General features: G+C 38.2%; 1 protein-coding gene and 1 long non-coding RNA gene across 6 annotated transcripts in view; one reads left to right on the top strand and one right to left on the bottom strand.

Moving 5' to 3' along the window:
- LOC105374610 (uncharacterized) overlaps positions 1-773 on the top strand; it is a 40,619-nt gene extending 39,846 nt beyond the window's left edge. Inside the window, exon 2 of the long non-coding RNA XR_007086321.1 lies at positions 509-773. This is a non-coding gene — a long non-coding RNA (uncharacterized LOC105374610). The remainder of the gene's footprint in view (positions 1-508) is intronic.
- ACYP2 (acylphosphatase 2) overlaps positions 1-18,351 on the bottom strand; it is a 334,188-nt gene that overhangs the window by 65,508 nt on the left and 250,329 nt on the right. The gene's annotated exons all lie outside the window — the stretch shown is intronic.

Below are 18,351 nucleotides of genomic sequence, written 5' to 3'. Positions count from 1 at the left end.
TGAGCCCTCTATTTAGAGTTTGTCCCCCTTACCACCTTCTTAGGTCACCATGGGTGGTAAAGTAAGAATCATATTAAATTTTAGTTCAGCTGTGATGATGCTGTGCCCTTTATAACCTTGGTGGTTTAGACAACCCCCTGGAGTTTCTTAGTCATTATAAGCTCAGTGTTTCTAACAAGGACATATGGCACAGCCTCAAATACTCCTCTGGCTCACATCAGATGCTAACAATGCTATTTCAAGAGTGGGAAATGGGAGGAGAAGTGGGATGGGGCATGCTTTTCTCCTTAACCTTTCTAGGAAGCAGTTCTTGAGATTATTAGCTTCATTCTAGACTACAAAATACATGGGCAGTAGCGGGAGGCTCTAGGTTGATGACTTCATCAGTTCCATTTCTGTTTTTAAGCTGGCTAAGTTTGTTTGAAGCTAGCTAAAAGAACAAGACAGAGGCCATTCTTGGTCTCTTTATAAGCAGTGAAATATCACAGTATGGCCTCTTTCCTTTCAGGCAGGATCCCTTTGAGACATTCCTGGAAAAGCAGAACAGTCCATGACCATCAGGAAGGCATGCTGACTTCAGGCAATCTGGCAAAATACTGTGGGTGCCAGTGAGGTAAAAACATTATTAGCAGAGTCAAGACTTTCTCTCATCAAGTAGCTCTGACCTACACTGTGGATTCCTTTTGAGCAGCTATGACGAATACACATTGTGTGGGTCTAGGTATTATAAGTGGATTTATGATTTATTTAGGGAAATAAATTTACAAAAGACATTTAGAAGACCAGAGTTGGGATTTTTGCCCATAAAAAATGATGGGTCTATATGAGTCCTTAAATATCTACACAATAAAGAGATATCTCTGCCAACCACAAAAAAATAGGCTAGGCAGTACCCAGCTGCCTGGCCTATTTTTTTGTGGTTGGTAGGGATATCAGTTTTAGCCTTTGTACTTATAAGCACTCATAATATTTTGCTTAAATAATAAATTTTCATGTGCAATCACAATAATTTTATACTATAAAAAATTGAAAAAGTCTTGAATATACATATTAAGTCACTGGAAAATAATGCATCTTATTTGGTAGGCTTAATTTTTTAAATTAAAATTAAATGTTCTTAAAAATTTGTGGACCATATGCCTAAACTAAATGAGATAGTTAATTTAAACTAATGAAAGCTATATCTTCAAACATATTAATATTTCATTTTGCTATTTTAGGTAACATTGATGAACAGAAATATGATCAATGATACTATCTTTACATTCGAAAGATTAAAATATAGACCATACAAATTAAAAGACTTACTTAGTTTGTTATTCTGCCTTCTCCACTTTCTTTACTTCCTGTAGAGAACTCTTCCTATATCTTCTATCTATTAATCATTCATTCATTCTCCTACAAATATTTATTGAACATTTACTCTAATCCAGGCACTATTCCAGGGGATGGGATACAACTGTGAGGAGGGGGTGGGAAAAAGCTCTCTCCTCTTACAGAACTTCAGAATTTCTATTCAAATGGAGAGAGACAAAGAATAAGCAAATAAATATTGGATATATAATGTGTCATATTGTAGTAAGTGCTATGAAGAAGCATAAAACCAGGTAAAGAGTTAGAGAACAATATGGGAGAGGAGAGGTCTGGATGATAATTTTGAATAAATGTCAGAGAAAGCCTCTCTGATAAGGCCACATTTGAGCAGAGACCTGAATCATGTAAGGGAATGAGTCTTAGACATATCTTGAAAACAGTGTTCCAGGCTAAGGAAGCAATATTTTTAAAAATCTAGGAGTAAGAAGCATGCTTGGCATGTTAGAAAAACAGCAAGATAGAGACAAGCGAGTAACGAGAGTACGGCAGGGGATGGGGTCAGATAGGTTGCCGGGGCCCATTCATGCATGTCCAGAAAGTTAGATAGATAGAAGGTATCCAGAAGAGAGGGAAGAGAGAATGGGAAAGAGGCATATTCAAGAAGATAATGACTGAGACTTTGCAAAAATTGGCCAAAAGCACAGATTCAAGTAGATCTCCAAACTTAAACCAAGATAAGGAAAAAGAAAAGCACAACATAGTAAAAAATGCTAAAAATAAAAGTTATAGAAGACATATTAAAAGAAACCTGAGAGAAAAGACAGATTAACATCAAAGGTGCAAGTATCAGACTGACAGCTGACTTCTTGAAAGAATCAAGAGAAGCCAGAATAAAATGGAATTATCTTCAAAGTGCCGAAGGAATATAGCTATAAACCTAAAATTCTCTACCAGTAAAATTACTCCTCAATAATGAAGTAGAGAAAAAAAACATTTTTCACTTCATGTAGAGAATTTGTATCGATAGTCTAACCTAAAGACAACACTGAAGGGTGTATTCCGCTCCCAGATGGAAGCTCAAAGATGCAGGAAGGCATAAAGAACAATGAAAAGGGCAAACGTGGATAAACCTAAATTTTTAACCAAATATAGCAATAGTTATAATAATACATTAGGAGATTTTAAGTATATATAAAATGAAAACATGTGCCAATAGCATATAAGCTATATTTATATCAGACAAAGAAGGCCTTCAGGTATCCATGTGGGATTGATTCCAAGACCTCCTATGGATACCAAAATCCATGGATAGTCAAGTCCCTGACATAAGACAGAATAGTATTTGCATATAATGTATTCCCATGTGTTTTAAATCATCTCTAGATTACTTATAATACCTAATACAATATACATGCTATATAAATAGTTGTCATACTGTATTGTTTAGGGAATAATGACAAGACAAAAAGTCTGTATGTGTTCAGTACAGATGCAATTTTTTCCCAAATATTTTTGATCCCCAATTGAATCCACAGATATGGAACCTATGGATATGGAGGGACAACTGCATTTCAAAATGATAAAACTTTAACTTCTCTATTAAGAGATAATACTTCTACATTTTAATTCACCTAGTAACATAGCTCAAAATTATATATTAAACAACATTGACAAAACAGAGAAATTTAAAAATCATAGTGAGAAATCTGAACATACCTCTCTCAGGTATATCAGATAATTTATAACGATATGTAAAATTTGAACAATACTTTTTACGTATTTGACCTAATAGTCACAAATACAATACTCTACCTTGAAACATCAGAATATACACATTGGCTTCAAATATGCATAGATCATTATCAAAATCATATGTGAAAGCAAATTGCCACAAATTCCAAAGAATTGAATTTATACAAAACAAATTATTTTACCATAAAGAAATTAGACTAGAAATCAATAACAAAAATTTACCTAGAAAATTCACAATGCTTATAAATTAAGAAATATACTTTCTAATAACCCATAGGCCAAAGAAAAAAGTCACAGTGGAAATTAGAGCCCATTTTGAAGTAAATGTTCTTTAAAATTTATGAGGTGCACCATTAAAACTATTCTACGAGTAAAGTTTATGGCCCCCAAATTCATATATTAGAGAAGAAGAAAAGCTGAAAAGCAATAAGCTAAACATCCTTGATAAAAAGTTATGAAAAGAACAACTTAAATCTAAATAAAATAGGCTGGGCACAGTGGCTCACACCTATTTAGTAATCCCAGCACTTTGGGAGGCCAAGGAAGGAGGATCACTTGAGCCCAGGAGTTGGAGACCAGCCTGGGCAACATGGTGAGACCCTGTCTCAAAAAACAAAAAACAAACAAAAAAAATTCCAGAAATCTAAAGAAAATATAAGGAAGGAAATAAAAAGATAACAGCAACAAGTAAAACAGAAAACAAAAATACAATAGAGAAGATCAATAAGGGTAAAAGTTGGTTCTTTCAAATGATGAATAAATTTATAAACCCCCATGGAGAATAATGAAGAAATACAGAAAGCAAGCTTAAATAACCAATATCAGAAATAAAAGAGGAAACGTCACTACAGAGCTTATAGAGTTTTATTGTTGTTGTTGGTTGGTTGGTTTTGAGACAGGGTCTCACTCTCATTGCTCATGCTGCATGCATATTACGTGCATACAGTCAATTAAAAAGTCAAGAAAACATACCTTTTATAAAAACTAACAGCACAAGAAGAAAACTGTGAACAACCCCTTATTTATTTTAAAATTGAATTAATAACTTAAAGCTTTCCAAAAAAAACCCTATAGGTTGGCCAGGCGCGGTGGCTCACGCCTGTAATCCCAGTACTTTGGGAGGCCAAGGCAGGCAGATCACGAGGTTAGGAGATCGAGACCATCCTGGCTAACATGGTGAAACCCTGCCTCTACTAAAAATACAAAAAAATTTAGCCAGGCATGGTGGTGGGCGCCTATAGTCCCAGCTACTCTGGAGGCTGAGGCAGGAGAATGGTGTGAACCCGGGAGGCGGAGCTTGCAGTGAGCCGAGATTGCGCCACTGGACTCCAGCCTGGGTGACAGAGCGAGACTCCATCTCAAAACAAAACAAAACAGAACAAAAAAAACTTGTGAGTCTAGGAGGTTTCACTGGTTGATTCAAACCAAAACTTAATTAAAAAAAAAAACCTGTCTTATATAAATTCTTCCAGAGAATAAAACAGAGAATAGGAAACATTCTCCCCATCCTCAGCTCATCTTACAAGGCTAGCATAACCTTGATACTAAAGTATGAGAAGGGCATTACTAGAAAGAAAACTTACACCCCAATCTCATTTATAAACATAGAAGCAAAATGTTGGTTAAACAAATACAGAAATAATAGGGGTCTTCAAAAAGTTTATGGAAAATGTGTATTTTGAAAAACCTATGCATAGATTTCAGGGGTTTTTTGCATCAGAATAAACTTATGCTAACTTGTCATAAAATGTCTGAACAGGATCTAGTTTGAGGCACTAAGAAGGATAAGACATCAGTTTGAAAAGAGCCCCATCAGAGGAACATGAATTCTGCTAAAATTGAAACAAGAACATTAAATTTATGGTGAAGCTTGGGTGGAAGAATGGCTAAACCCTGATGCTTTACAAAAACTTTGTGGGGTCAATCCCCCAAAGAAATCAGTAGTGTACAAATGGATAACTCATTTTAAGAAGGGATGAGACAATGTTGAAGATGAAGCCCACAGTGGGCAGACCATCTGCATCAATTTTTAAGGAAAAAATTAATCTTGTTCATGCCTTAATTGAAGAGGGCCAATGATTAACCGAAAAAATAACAGCCAACACCACAGACATCTCAATTGGTTCAGCTTACACAATTCTGACTGAAAAATTAAAGTTGAGCAAATTTTCCACTTGGTAGGTGCCAAAACCATTGCACTTCGTATCAGCTGCAGACAAAAGCAGAGCATTCAATGGATGTTGCAAACAAGTGGGATCAAGATCCCAAAGCATTTCTTCAAAGAATTGTAAAGAGATGAATCATGGCTTTACCAGTATGATCATGAAGACAAAGCACAATCAAAGCAATGGCTACCAAGATGTAGAGGTGGCCCATCAAAGCAAAAGTGGATTAGTGATGAGCAAAGGTCATGGCAACAGTTTTTGAGAATGCTCAAAGCATTTTGCTTGTTGACTTTCTGGAGAGCCAAAGAATGATAAAATCCGTTTACAATGAGAGTGTTTTGAGAAAGCCAAAAGCTTAGCACAAAAATGCCCAGGAAAGCTTCAACAGGGGGTCCTTCTCCACCATGACAATACTCCTCTTATTCCTATCATCAAACAAGGACAATTTTGCCAGAGTTTCAACGGGAAAATCATTAGGCAACCACCTACAGACCTGATTTGGCTCCTTCTGACTTCTTTTTGTTCCCTAATCTTAATAAATCATTAAAGGGCACCCACTTTTCTTCAGTTACTAATGTGAAAAAGACTGCACTGACATGGTTAAATCCCAGGACCCTCAGTTCTTTAGGGATGGACTAAATGGCTGACATTGTCACTTATAAAAGTGTCTTAAACTTGACAGAGCTTATGTTGAAAAATAAAGTTTATATTTTTTCTTTTTATCTTTTAATTCCATTTTCCCGTGACCTTTTTGAAGTTCCCTTAATGTAAGAGAGAGAGCTAATACATAATGATCAAACTGGTTTATTTCAGAAATGGAAAGTTAATTTAACCTTCAAAACTTCAATTAGTAATGCAACTAATCTGTAGTGACAGAAAGTAGATCAGGTGTGGAGCAGGGGTAGGAGGGAAGGGGCTGGAGACAGGGATTACAGGAGGGATAAGAAAATGTTTGGGGCCAGGCATGTTGGCTCACACCTGTAATCCCAGCACTTTGGGAGGCCAAGGTGGGCAGATCACTTTGAGCTCAGGAGTTCAAGACCAACCTGAGGAAATGGTGAAACCCCATTTCTACAAAAAATGCAAAAATTAGCCAGGTTAGCCAGGTGTGGTGGCTCATGCCTGTAGTCCCAGCTACATAGGAGGCTAAAGCTGGAGAATCACATGAGCCCAGGGAAGTAGAGGTTGCAGTGAGCCACTGCACTCCAGCTTGGGCCACAGTGTGAGACCCTGTCTCAAAAAAAAAAAAAAAAAAAGTTTGGAAGGGAATGATACATATGTTCATTATTTTGATTATGGTGATAGTTTCACAGGTATACACATATGTCAAAAGCTATCAAACTATATACTTTAAATATGTGCAGTTTATTATATGCCATTATAGCTAAAGTTGTTTTTAAAAATGAGTGTAACTTATCACATTAATAGAATAAAGAAAAAAATCCACATGATCATCTCAACAGATTTAGAAAAAACATTTGATGAAAGTCAACTTCCATTCATGATTAAAAAAAAAAACTTAATTGTGAAGATGACTTCCTTAAACTGATAAAAAAATTTTAAAAGAAACCCTCTAGCAACATGTCATAATTAAAAGTGAAATGTTGTAACCATTCTGATAGGGCTTGGCTGTGTGTCCCCACCCAAATCTCATCTCGAATTGTAATCCCTATATGTCAAGGGAGGGGCCTGGTGGGAGGTGACTGCATCTTGGGGGCGGATTTCCCCCTTGCTGTTCCTGTGATAGTAAATGAGTTCTCATGAGATCTGATGGTTTAAAAGTGTGGCACTTCCCCCTTTGCTCTCCCTCTCTTGCCGCCATGTAAGACATGCCTTGCTTTCCCTTTGCCTTCTGCCATGATTGTACGTTTCCTGAGGCCTCCCCAGCCATGCAGAACTGTGAGTCAATTAAACCTCTTTAATTTATAAATTACCCAGTCTCAAGCAGCTCTTTATAACAGTGTGAAAATGGACTAATACCCATTTCCTTTGACACTGGGGGCAAGACGGCCTTCCTGTACCCATTTCACCTCCTGCTCCATGATGCCCATGCGATTTGGGTGACATGGACCACAACCTCGGGTGTAGGTCTAAACTAAGCAATGTAACACCATTCCTCTTGTCCGTTGATTGACTCAGGGAAGAGCAGGGATAAGCCAGTCAATGACCCCAAGCCCCTGGTCTAAGTGATGGTGTCAGAGGTAGCACAAGACCTACACTGGTCCTGTCGAAGGAAGCCAAGAGCTTCTTTCTGGGAAAACAGCAACTCTCCATTCCTCTGGAGAGTGTAGTACAAAGATGTCATGTCAGGAACTGCTGCAGCCATTTCTGATACAACAAGCAGAGCCATGGAGGAAGACAGAGTGAAAAGAATCACAGAGATAGAACCCGGTGAAGAATTATCCAGTTGTGTATATGAAAAAAATTCCCTTTATTTTTTGACAGATCAAGTCTGGTTCTCTGTTATTTGCATCCCACAGCCTCCTAACTAATATGGTTTGATGACATAAAGTGCCATAATTTGTGCAAAGCAATGGCTAGAATAAGGCAGACAAAAGTCAAAAGAATACATAGTCTAAAAGAAAATGTACATAGGTCAAAGTCATGGTAGAAAGTCAGAAACCAAAATTTCCTGAAAGGATTGCTGTTATTAAATGAAATAACATATGTAGATCACTTAGTACAGCGCCCGATATGCTCCAAGCTAAATCACTAACTGCAGATAGCAACAGCTAATGGAGCCTCAGGCTGTGGTGGCGTGCCCGAGAGGCAGGAAATGGACTCTTACATCAAAAGCATTTTCTTATTTAGAATTATGTCGCTCTCTTGAGTGGAATCATCTTAAAGTCTAGATGCCAATGAGTGATAGCTGTTAACTTTTGTTGAAAACCTATATTTGCAACTTCATATATATTTGTTTTTTCATAAGGATGATACAAATTCGATATCATTCCCAACTGATACATGAGGAAACAAACTCAGAGAGGTGAAACAACCTAGCAGAGGTCTCTGCTCCTTAAATGGTGATGCCTGCTTTTACCAGGTCCCAACCTGAGCCCGTGCTCATTCTTCATCTCAGGCTGCCTGTCTGATGTGAGATGAGACTCAGAAATGCACATGAATTATATGAATTTAGATAATTTATGTTAACAGAAAGATACTGCATTTCTTGGATGCATGCTATATCTTAGTATTTTTCTTTTGTATATGTATCTCAGACACATTTCATAATATTGACGAAAAGAGTCAAACTCTGTAAAATATTTTAAGAGATTTATTCTGAGCCAAATATGAGTGACCACAGCCTGTGACACAGCTCTCAGGAGGTCCTGAGAACGTGTGCCCAAGGTGGTCAGGGTACAGCTTGTTGTCATGTATTTTAGGAAGGCATGAGACATTAATCAAATACATTTAAGAAACACATTGGTTTGGCCGGGCGCGGTGGCTCCACATTTGTAATCCCAGCACTTTGGGAGGCCGAGGCAGGCAGATCACCTGAGGTCAGGAGTTTAAGACCAGCCTGGTCAACATGGTGAAACCCCGTCTCTACTAAAAATACAAAAATTAGCTGGGCGTGGTGGCAGGCGCCTGTAATCCCAGCTACTCGGGAGGCTGAGGCAAGAGAATCGCTTGAATCCGGGAGGCAGAGGTTGCAGTGAGCCGAGATTGTGCCATTGCACTCCAGCCTGGGGGACAAGAGCAAGACTTTGACTCAAAAAAAAAAAAAAAAAAGAAAAGAAAGAAATACATTGGTTTGATTTAGAAAGGTGGGACAACTCAAAGCGGGGCTTCCAGGCTTTAAATAAATTCCAACATCTTCTGGTTGACAATTGGTGGAGTTTGTCTAAAGACTTGGATCGACAGAAAGGAATGTTCAGGTTAAAGATAAAGGATTGAGGCAGGCACAGTGGCTCATGCCTGTAATCCCAGCACTTTGGGAGGCCGAGGTGGGCAAATCACCTGAGGTTGGAAGTTCAAGACCAGCCTGACCAACATGGAGAAACCCCGTCTCTACTAAAAATACAAAATTAGCCGGGTGTGGCCAGGCGCATAGCCGGGTGTGGTGGCGCCCAGCTACTCGGGCGGCTGAGGCAGGAGAATTGCTTGAACCCAAGAGGCGGAGGCTGTGGTGAGTCGAGATCACGCCATTGGACTCCAGCTTGGGCAACAAGAGCAAAACTCCGTCTCAAAAAAACAAAAAACGAAACAAAAAAAAGGTAAAGGATTGTGGAGACCAACTTTTATTGTGCAGAGGAAGCTCTCAGATAGCAGACTTCAGAGAGAGCGGGGGTTGTAAATTGTTTCTTTTGGGACTTAAAAGGGTGCCTACCTCTTAGTTGATTAACTCCTGTATCTGGAAAGAAAGGAAGGAAAACAAAAGGGGAAGGGGATTCTCTATAGAATGTGGATTTTTCCCACAAGAAACTTTGCAGGGCAATTTCAAGGTATAACAAGGAAATATATTTTGGGGTTAAATATTTTTTCCTTGTCTCATAATGTTATGCCAGAGTCAGACTGAAAAGTAAGTCACAATATATAGGGTCAAATAAAACCCATCTCATGAGAATTTATGGTTTGTAGGACATGACTCCCTAGACCCCTAAGGTAGGAATTTGGATAAGATAAAAAATCAGAGCTTAGACCTCAATAATAACAAAGCTATTTAGTGGACAGAACATGACAAATGCCAGACTAATATTTTTGATGGAAACAACACTATATGATGTTAGTCATCTAGAAAACAGCTTCTTAGTACAAATGAAACTAAATTAGGTTCTTAAAAAACTGTTTGGGGGACTCTTAACAGTATTTACAACTAGTTCTAAGAAACTATGAGCTTTAAACAGAACAGAAAAACTAGTCTTTGGTGCTGTTATAAAATATGGAGGCAATGGATAAACACTACATGAAAGAAAACAAAATAAAATGTTTTTGTTTTTCTCTTTCACAGAAAAAAGAGGATGGAATTAGCAAATGAAAACTATTCAAACTACTCTCCTAAAAGTACTATCTTGAATGTTTACTCTGTCTGTTAAGGATATCAAACAAGGCTCTCCAAATAATATACATTCTGCAAAAGTTAGTATAAGACAGAATAAGAAAGTGATATAATTAAATAATAATTTCATATCAAATTATTCCTCCCAGTAATCTCCCAAATGGCTTCGTGAACTCTGCAATCAGTATATTACATAACATACTACATTTCTTAAAAAATAATAAAAGAATAACAACATAGATTGGGCCATAAAATATGTGAAAGGGTGCTGTTAAATTTTGTAATTATGTTATGAAACTTCATCTCCCTGTTCCACAGTCTTTGGGTATCTAATGTCACTGCTACATGATGCCATGTCCCACAGAAGCGGGAGCTGCCACAATGGAGAAATAATGTTAGTAAAGTTAGGAAAATAAGTCTCTTGCCTGGAACTCTAACCCAGTTGGGCCATTTTGTAATGGCCTACCTGGCTCGGTGCCCTTGCTTCTGTTTGCCTCTGAGCTGAATCTATTACATTAACCCTGACTTATAACTATGCATCTCACTCTGGGGCCAACTTCAGCCCTCAGTAGGGGAGATAACATAAGAAATCTTTTGTCAAGAAATGCTGCCTCTACTTTGAATTATTTTATCTCTGATTTTGCTCTGATTTTATTCCAGTCCACTGTTACTGGAAAGTTTCCTTGCCCTGTATCCCAGTTTCTACTGGCTGGGTTCCTTACTGTGAAGTCTCAGTCCCCTGGTTATGGGCCCCTTATACTTTATGGGAGACTCCCATAATATCCAATACCCAGTGCCTGTTGGAATGGACTTTTTCTTTCTCTCCCTCCCTCCCTTCCTTCCTTTTTTTTCTTTTCTCTCCTCTTTTTTTGTTATGATTATCTCAGTATTTGGGTCACTTCCTAAACAATTTAGAACTTGGCCTCAGGGCTATATTCCACCACTTCCATTAACACCAACTGATGAATTATGAATTCATCAATTCATGGGAGGTGGTTTCAAATTCATAGAAGGTGGTTTGGCATACTGGTTAAGAGTATGGTTTCTGAAGTCAAGTTCCCTGAATCTGAAAGCTAGCACAGATCGTATGACCTTAAGTAAGTTTCTTAACTACTGTATACCTTGATTTCTTCATCTCCAAAATGGGAATAAAGACACTACCTGCCTTACACATGAATAACAGATGATACATAATACTGTATCTAATAAATAATGAGCACTTAATAAATGTTAGCTGTTGCTGTTGTTATGGTTCCAATATATCCACTTACAGAATTACAGACTGCACTACTATCTTTAGACCTTTGCTCAATGATAAAGATCTGCCTGATCTTATATATCTACTAATTTCTGATCCACTTCCATACTTAAATGTAAATTCCTCCTTCCTAATGCAGTGTGTAGTAAATGTGTCCCAAAGAAAGTAATAAGGGATTGAAATTCATTACCTGCAAATACAGCTACATTCCTTCCATTTCCTTTCAAAGAGAAAAGGGCTATTATTCAGCCAGCCTGAACCTGTTCATACTTCTCTTTATCTATGAGACACTACTTTTATAGCTACTCTGTCATCATGGCTTATCTTGAAGAGCAGCTGGGGTTTAGCTTTCTGAGAAGATGATTTGAAAGTTATGTAAAATCAGGCCAAAATATTGTTAGCTTTGAGTACTGGTCTTGTCCATTCCTGCAAGACTTCAAATGATGTAGCATTGATTTACATGATTCAGTTCCTATTCTATGCAATGTAGGTACCACTATTCATATCTGTAACAATACTTTGGATTGATAAAGCCTTAAAATATCACAACTTACTTTGGATTAATAAAGCCTTAAAGTATTACCACTCTGATAATTTAAGGCTTTATCACAAAGAGTATTATATGTGTGATACCTTCAAAAGCAGGAGAGCCAGAATTAGTGTGCATATTTTTTTTTTTTTTGAAATGGAGTCTTGCTCTGTTGCCAGGGTGGAGTGCAGTGGCGCAGTCTCGGCCTTCCAGGTTCAAGCGATTCCTCTGCCTCAGCCTCCCAAGTAGCTGGGACTACAGGCACGCGCCACCATGAACCGGATAATTTTTTGTATTTTAGTAGAGACGGGCTTTCACCATGTTGGTCAGGATGGTCTCGATCTCCTGACCTCGTGATCTGCCCACATTGACCTCCCAAAGTGCTGGGATACAGGCGAGAGCCACTTTGTTCAGCCCAGTGTGCATACTTTATAAGTGGAATAAAAGAGATGAGGGACAAAGAAAATAAGTTATTGACTTCAAACTCTTAAAAATAAGACTCGAATAAGAATCTGGTCCCTGAACACCTAATACTTAGTTAAACTGCTTTTGGAAAAATAGAAACTTATTACTCACTCTTTGACAAAAGATTTTCTGAACATACACAGGTTTAAGACTGGATTTAAAATTATATATATCCTAATATTGATGGCCCAATTTGGAACCCTGAAGCAGTCAACTTCCAAATTTTACTCACATTCAGTATTTGTACCCAATGGCTTGCAGATACGTCTTCAGAATATATGCACCTTCACCAAAATAACAAGTTCTTACCCAATTCCATAGCCTCAGGCAGTTTTTCATCATATAAGCCAAATGTGTTGATTAAAATTTTAAATCTATTTAGGAAAAAATATATCACATTTCTTTAAGAATCAAAATGAGTGTGTTGCTATGAAGAGTTGGCCTGAGTACTAGGAATGCTATATAAATTTCAAAATCATTTCTCAAACTCTAATTTAGAAATAATTTTGATACTGTGCTTTCACAGTTACTGATAAATGTTGATTTGTTGTAAGGGAATGGTGGTGAGGACTTAAAGGAGGGAGGTAGCTGCTGCCAAATCTAAACCTGGGACAAGAACATCAAATTGGAAAAGACTACATGTTCCATTCCCAGGGCTGACCTCTGTCACATCTTCCAGTATTCTCTCTTTGCTTTCACTTAAGGATTGATTACTCAAATTCATCCTGTGACCCAAGCCTAAGAAATACCCTGCTGTTACTTTGCAGGAGTAGATCACAGAAAGTACATTTACAGCTGCTTAACATTAACACTTCTTTCTTATCAGAAATGGCTCAACTCTTTTCCTGACATCAACACATTATTGAAAGTTCTGTACTGTAAATTCTTTGTCTTTCCTGACTCTGCCCTTTCAGGACTGCCTACAGCCAGTAATAACAATGGATTGTCTGTCAGAGGAAACTGCAGCCTCGAAATGCACATAAAAATTCCAGACGCTCAATATCTTTGAAAGATGGTCCAGACTTATCCAGGAGAGTCCATTTTTACTCACTTGGGTATTTAAATATTTTTTTTGTTTTCAATTTTGAATATGGGATTGCCTCCACCTCTTAAGACATCCACTACATCATGTAAATTTATAGTAACACAGTGTGAACTTCGGCCACACTGGTGCCAGTCTGGGATTTCTGCAGTAAAGGTGAACAATTAGGACAAGGATGTTTATACAAGACTTCATTTTCTCACAAACTTTTCCATATTTTTCTCTAAATATTTAAGTTAAGGTAGACACCAAACCAGCAAATCTACTAGAGTAAAACATTAAATACCGTAGATAATTTAATTCAGTACCAGACTAGACCGTCATCTCCTGAATTTTCTGCAATGAGTTATTAATCCTAGGTTAGCAACTTATACTATTGGCATCTTCTGGAATGTCTCCCCTCACTCCATCCCTGTTGTTGTATATTCAGAAAGTAAAAGCTTATTTTATTATTTGTCTAAGAAACAAGTAAAAAAAAAATACTTAAGGTATTCCAGACCCCAAAATGATTACCATTAATTGGAAGTAATCCTTGTCAGTGGGTCCTCTCATTTAGTATGGATAATATATTATACACTTATTTCCTTTAAAAACTACCAAAATAAAGATCACTAGCAATTCAACTTTTGAATACAAAAGACGAAGTTAAAAATGACATCCAAAGAGTTAGTGTTGCACCACTAGAACACCAACAAGCAACAGAGTAGAACTTCATCGTGACAATAATGTCCCTGAAACTTAAAATGAGCATAGTAAAATCCTAAAACATGACAAAACTGTAAAGAAGATCATGCTGATGCTGTCACTCCCCATGTATTAAAAGAAAAAAAAAGTGTTATTACAGGATTTTGTAATTAACCAAATTTTAAAACACCCTTGTTTTTCTCTGTGACTTAAAAATATAAATATGGTGTATTATTTTTAAATCACTCCATTTAATGATGGAAAAAACATGCCAGACCCTGTCACAATAACCAGCTCCTTTTCTGCTCCAACCATGCTCCACCCAGCCTGCCATATCCTGGCTCACCCCTGCTAGAGACACACAGCCGTGTTGTCCACAGCCAGATAGAGAATTTCTTGAGGGCGAAGGACTGTTTCTTGTCATGGTGTGTATCCCTAGTAACTAACATGGCACTCAGCACACTGTAGACAATATTACCTGAAATGGTTGGAACTGGCAATCACTGTGGCCAGTTAAAGGGCCCTGTCATTGCTGTGCCCCCAGAATGGTAATCCTTTCCTTATCTTGCAACTGCTCAGGATTTGAAGATTATTCATTTCCAGCCATACTGCTGGAATGAATTTAAGAGCAACCTTGCTTTCCTTTCTTCCATCCTGCCTACTTTTTTTGCCCCACAAACATAATCACTAATGTCTGTAGGTACTGTACGTTACAAAGTACTTTCATGTATATTTCTTTCATCTAAACCTTACAACGTTTTAAGGTAGGGAGGGCAGACATAATACTTATTTAAAAGATAACGAATAAGAAGTTTAGGAAGGTCAAATTGATACAGAAAGGAGGCAGCCAAATGCCTAGGCAGACGGGCTGGTACCCGGTGAAACCCCACCTCCAAGGCGAAGAAAGTTTAAAGCCTGAAAGCCAAGCTACAAGTTAAATCCTCAGACTGGATTAAGAACTTGTCTTCCTGTTTGGCATGCTTTCCTTTGATTGATCCCCACCCTTCACCTATTTTACATATACCTACCCTTTTCTAATTGGTTTTCTACACTGTCATGCCCACCTTTGAGTGGTGTCTTTGCTTTAACCTTTTTTGCATACACACAAACCAATCAGCACGCACTCCCCATTCTGAGTCCATAGAAGGCCCCATGCCTGGCTGCACAGGGGACATTCCCACCTTTGGGTAGGGGGACAACCCCCGCATCCTTTCTCTGCTGAAAACTGTTTCATAGCTCTATAAAATTCTTCTCCACCTTCCTCACCCTTCAATGTTTAGCACATCCTCATTCTTCTTGGGTGCAGGACAAGAGTTCGGGAACTGCTGAACACAGGTACAAGCTATACCACAGGAAAACTGGGGCATGCCAGTGTGGCTGAATGAGGCCTGGGTGGGGCATTGCTGGCTGGGGACTTGGAAAGTGACTGAGAAGAAAAATCCTACATCAAAATAATTTGATCTAGGTCACACAAAAATAAAATGCTCTTTATGCAATCTTAGTAATAAGACTGGACTAACAGTATTTAGAAGCCTAACCCCAATGTCCCGGTACAGAATCTTGAGACACCCCATTTTCAAACGCATCTCACATTCAGGGTCTGCCTCATCTTTTACTCATTCTCTTTAATTAGGTAAGAATATACCCCCAAATAAATGTTTTATTTAATAAATAAAACAATATTTGTTACGTTAAAAACACAGTTTTACTATACTCATGGAATATTAAAGATGAGTTTCCCACAAGCTCAAGATAAGGTAGTATCTGGCAAGAAACCAATGTCTGCCAAGTTGCTAGAAAAATTATTTCCTAAATTAAAGATGAACTAATTAAAATTATATTAGAAATGAGTGAGAACTAAAGTTCTTTTGGTCAATTTGTACTCAGATTTCTCCCACTGAAAATAATTCTGACAGGAATTAAGATTTTAGTGGCAAATTTGCAAGATAAGAGAGTAGTTTGGCTTATCCAGAAGTGGAAATCAGTTCTTCAACCATTTCCAACACAGTGTTGTAGAATCAAGTGCTTCAGACAATTTAAATTTATAGCAGTGTCTAAATTCTGGGCTCATAAACATATCAAGTTTTCAAGCTCCTAAAATTCACTCTGAATAGCTAATAGGAAAAGTGGTCTGGGAAAAACTACAGAAAAAGCTTATATCCAGATTTATTCTGTAGTTTTTATAAGTCACATTTTTGGAAAGAGGTAGGAAGTAACTAAAATTCTAAAGATAGACTTTTTCTTAGTTATGTAAAGTATCTTATTTCTAATCTAAGAAGAAAAGAGTAGCTCTTATATTAGATGCTTTCGGTTCTCACCATTTAAGGTTAGTTGAACAAAATTGTCAATGTTGAAAATTCAATGAAATTCCATTTTAAAAATTAAAATTGAGCTAAATGGGGGCTGTCTGACTGATGAGACTAATTCCAACTGATGCTGTTTCCCAAGAGAATCTCACTATTTTTGCTTTGTAATGAGACAGAGTCAAAGAAGGCACTCACTGACACTCCAGCTTGAGGGTAGAGGCATGACTCCAAAGTTGTTGGGTATCTGGGCTATCAAGGCTTCAATAGAAGGGAAAAGCTAATCTGCAAAACAGAGAGTAAAGAATATGAAAAGGGGCATGGTGTTGCAATCAAGGGGCAACGTTGAGAGGGAAAGAATGGTGGAGATCTCGTGTTTTGCATGGAGGTCCTCACCAAAACTCAGAAAATGCTTGGTGAAGGTATGTCTGGTAGAAACTGGAAAGGGTTGAGCTTTACACTCAGACTGACATGGCAAATCAAGGTGGCCTCCAAGGACATATGAAGGGGACCACATGACTGTAAGGCCGGGGAATTAGTAGAAATTGTACGGACAGCTTCAGACTTTCACATGCTAAAAAACAGCAATTTGGGTCTGAGCTAATTTATATGTAGATTTCTGAATGCTAAAGTGATTCTGGGTGACCTCTGGGTTATGTAGCAAATGACTAGAGATAACACACCAACAAATGTTAGGTAAATCAGTTTGTAATTTTTTTTTTTTTTTTTTTTGAGACAGAGTCTCGCTCTGTCACCCAGGCTGGTGTGCAGTGGCCCAATCTTGGCTCACTGCAACCTCCGCCTCCTGGGTTGAAGCAATGCTCATGCCTCAGCCTCCTGAGTAGCTGGGTTTACAGGCATGTGCCACCACAACTGGCTAATTTTTGTATTTTTAGTAGAGACGGGGTTTTGCTATGTTGACCAGACTGCTCTTGAACTTCTGGCCGCAAGTGATCCACTTGCCTCGGCCTCCCAAAGTGCTAGGACTACAGGCATGAGCCACCACGCCTGGCCTGTAATTCTATTTTTCTCCTAGTTCCACCCAAACACAAATAACACAGTGATGATAATAGCATGATTTTTGGAGTCAGATGGACTTGGGTCAAGTCCTAAAACTCAAGCCCTTTCCTAGCTGTGAGGCTTAAACTAGTCATTTAACTTTTCTGAGCCTCAGTTTCTTCATGCAACAAAAATAGGGTAATACATACTTTGCAATACCTGGCATATGGTAAGGGCTCAATAAATATGTGTTGACTGCCTGACAGATTTGACAGATTTGCTGTGAGGAGAAGAGAAGAATGCCAAACACTTGTGTGGCCAGGCCCTTAACAAATGCCAGCCATGGTTCCTATGTCATTTCATTTTGTGATTACTTGTAGTGCCAGCCAGGTTTATTTTAAAACTAATAATAAGTACCTCAACAACTTATTCCTCAAGTTCCATTACAAGAATTTTATTCTGGCGGGGTGTGGTGGCTTATGTCTATAATCCCAGCACTGTGGGAGGCTGAGGCGAGTGGATCACCTGAGGTCAGGAGTTTGAGACCAGCCTGGCCAACATGGTGAAAACCTTGTCTCTACTAAAAATACAAAAATTAGCCAGGTGTGGTGGCACACACCTGTAATCCCACCTACTCAGGAGGCTGAGGCAGGAGAATCGCTTGAACCTGGGAAGCAGAGGTTACTTTGAGCCAAGATTGTGCCCCTGCACTCTAGCCTGGGCAACAGAGAGAGACCGTGTTTAAAAAAAAAAAAAAAAAAAGAATTTTATTCAATAAAATTTGTAATGGCCACTAGCCAAGAAAAACTCTCAAATAATTGGTGTTTTATAATTCGTGTTT

The sequence above is a fragment of the Homo sapiens genome, chromosome 2 (genome assembly GCF_000001405.40).
Source record: "Homo sapiens chromosome 2, GRCh38.p14 Primary Assembly".
In the NCBI taxonomy this organism is placed as follows: domain Eukaryota; kingdom Metazoa; phylum Chordata; class Mammalia; order Primates; family Hominidae; genus Homo; species Homo sapiens.
The sequence above is the reverse complement of the archived record's forward strand: the minus strand, read 5'-3'. Positions and strand labels throughout refer to the sequence as shown.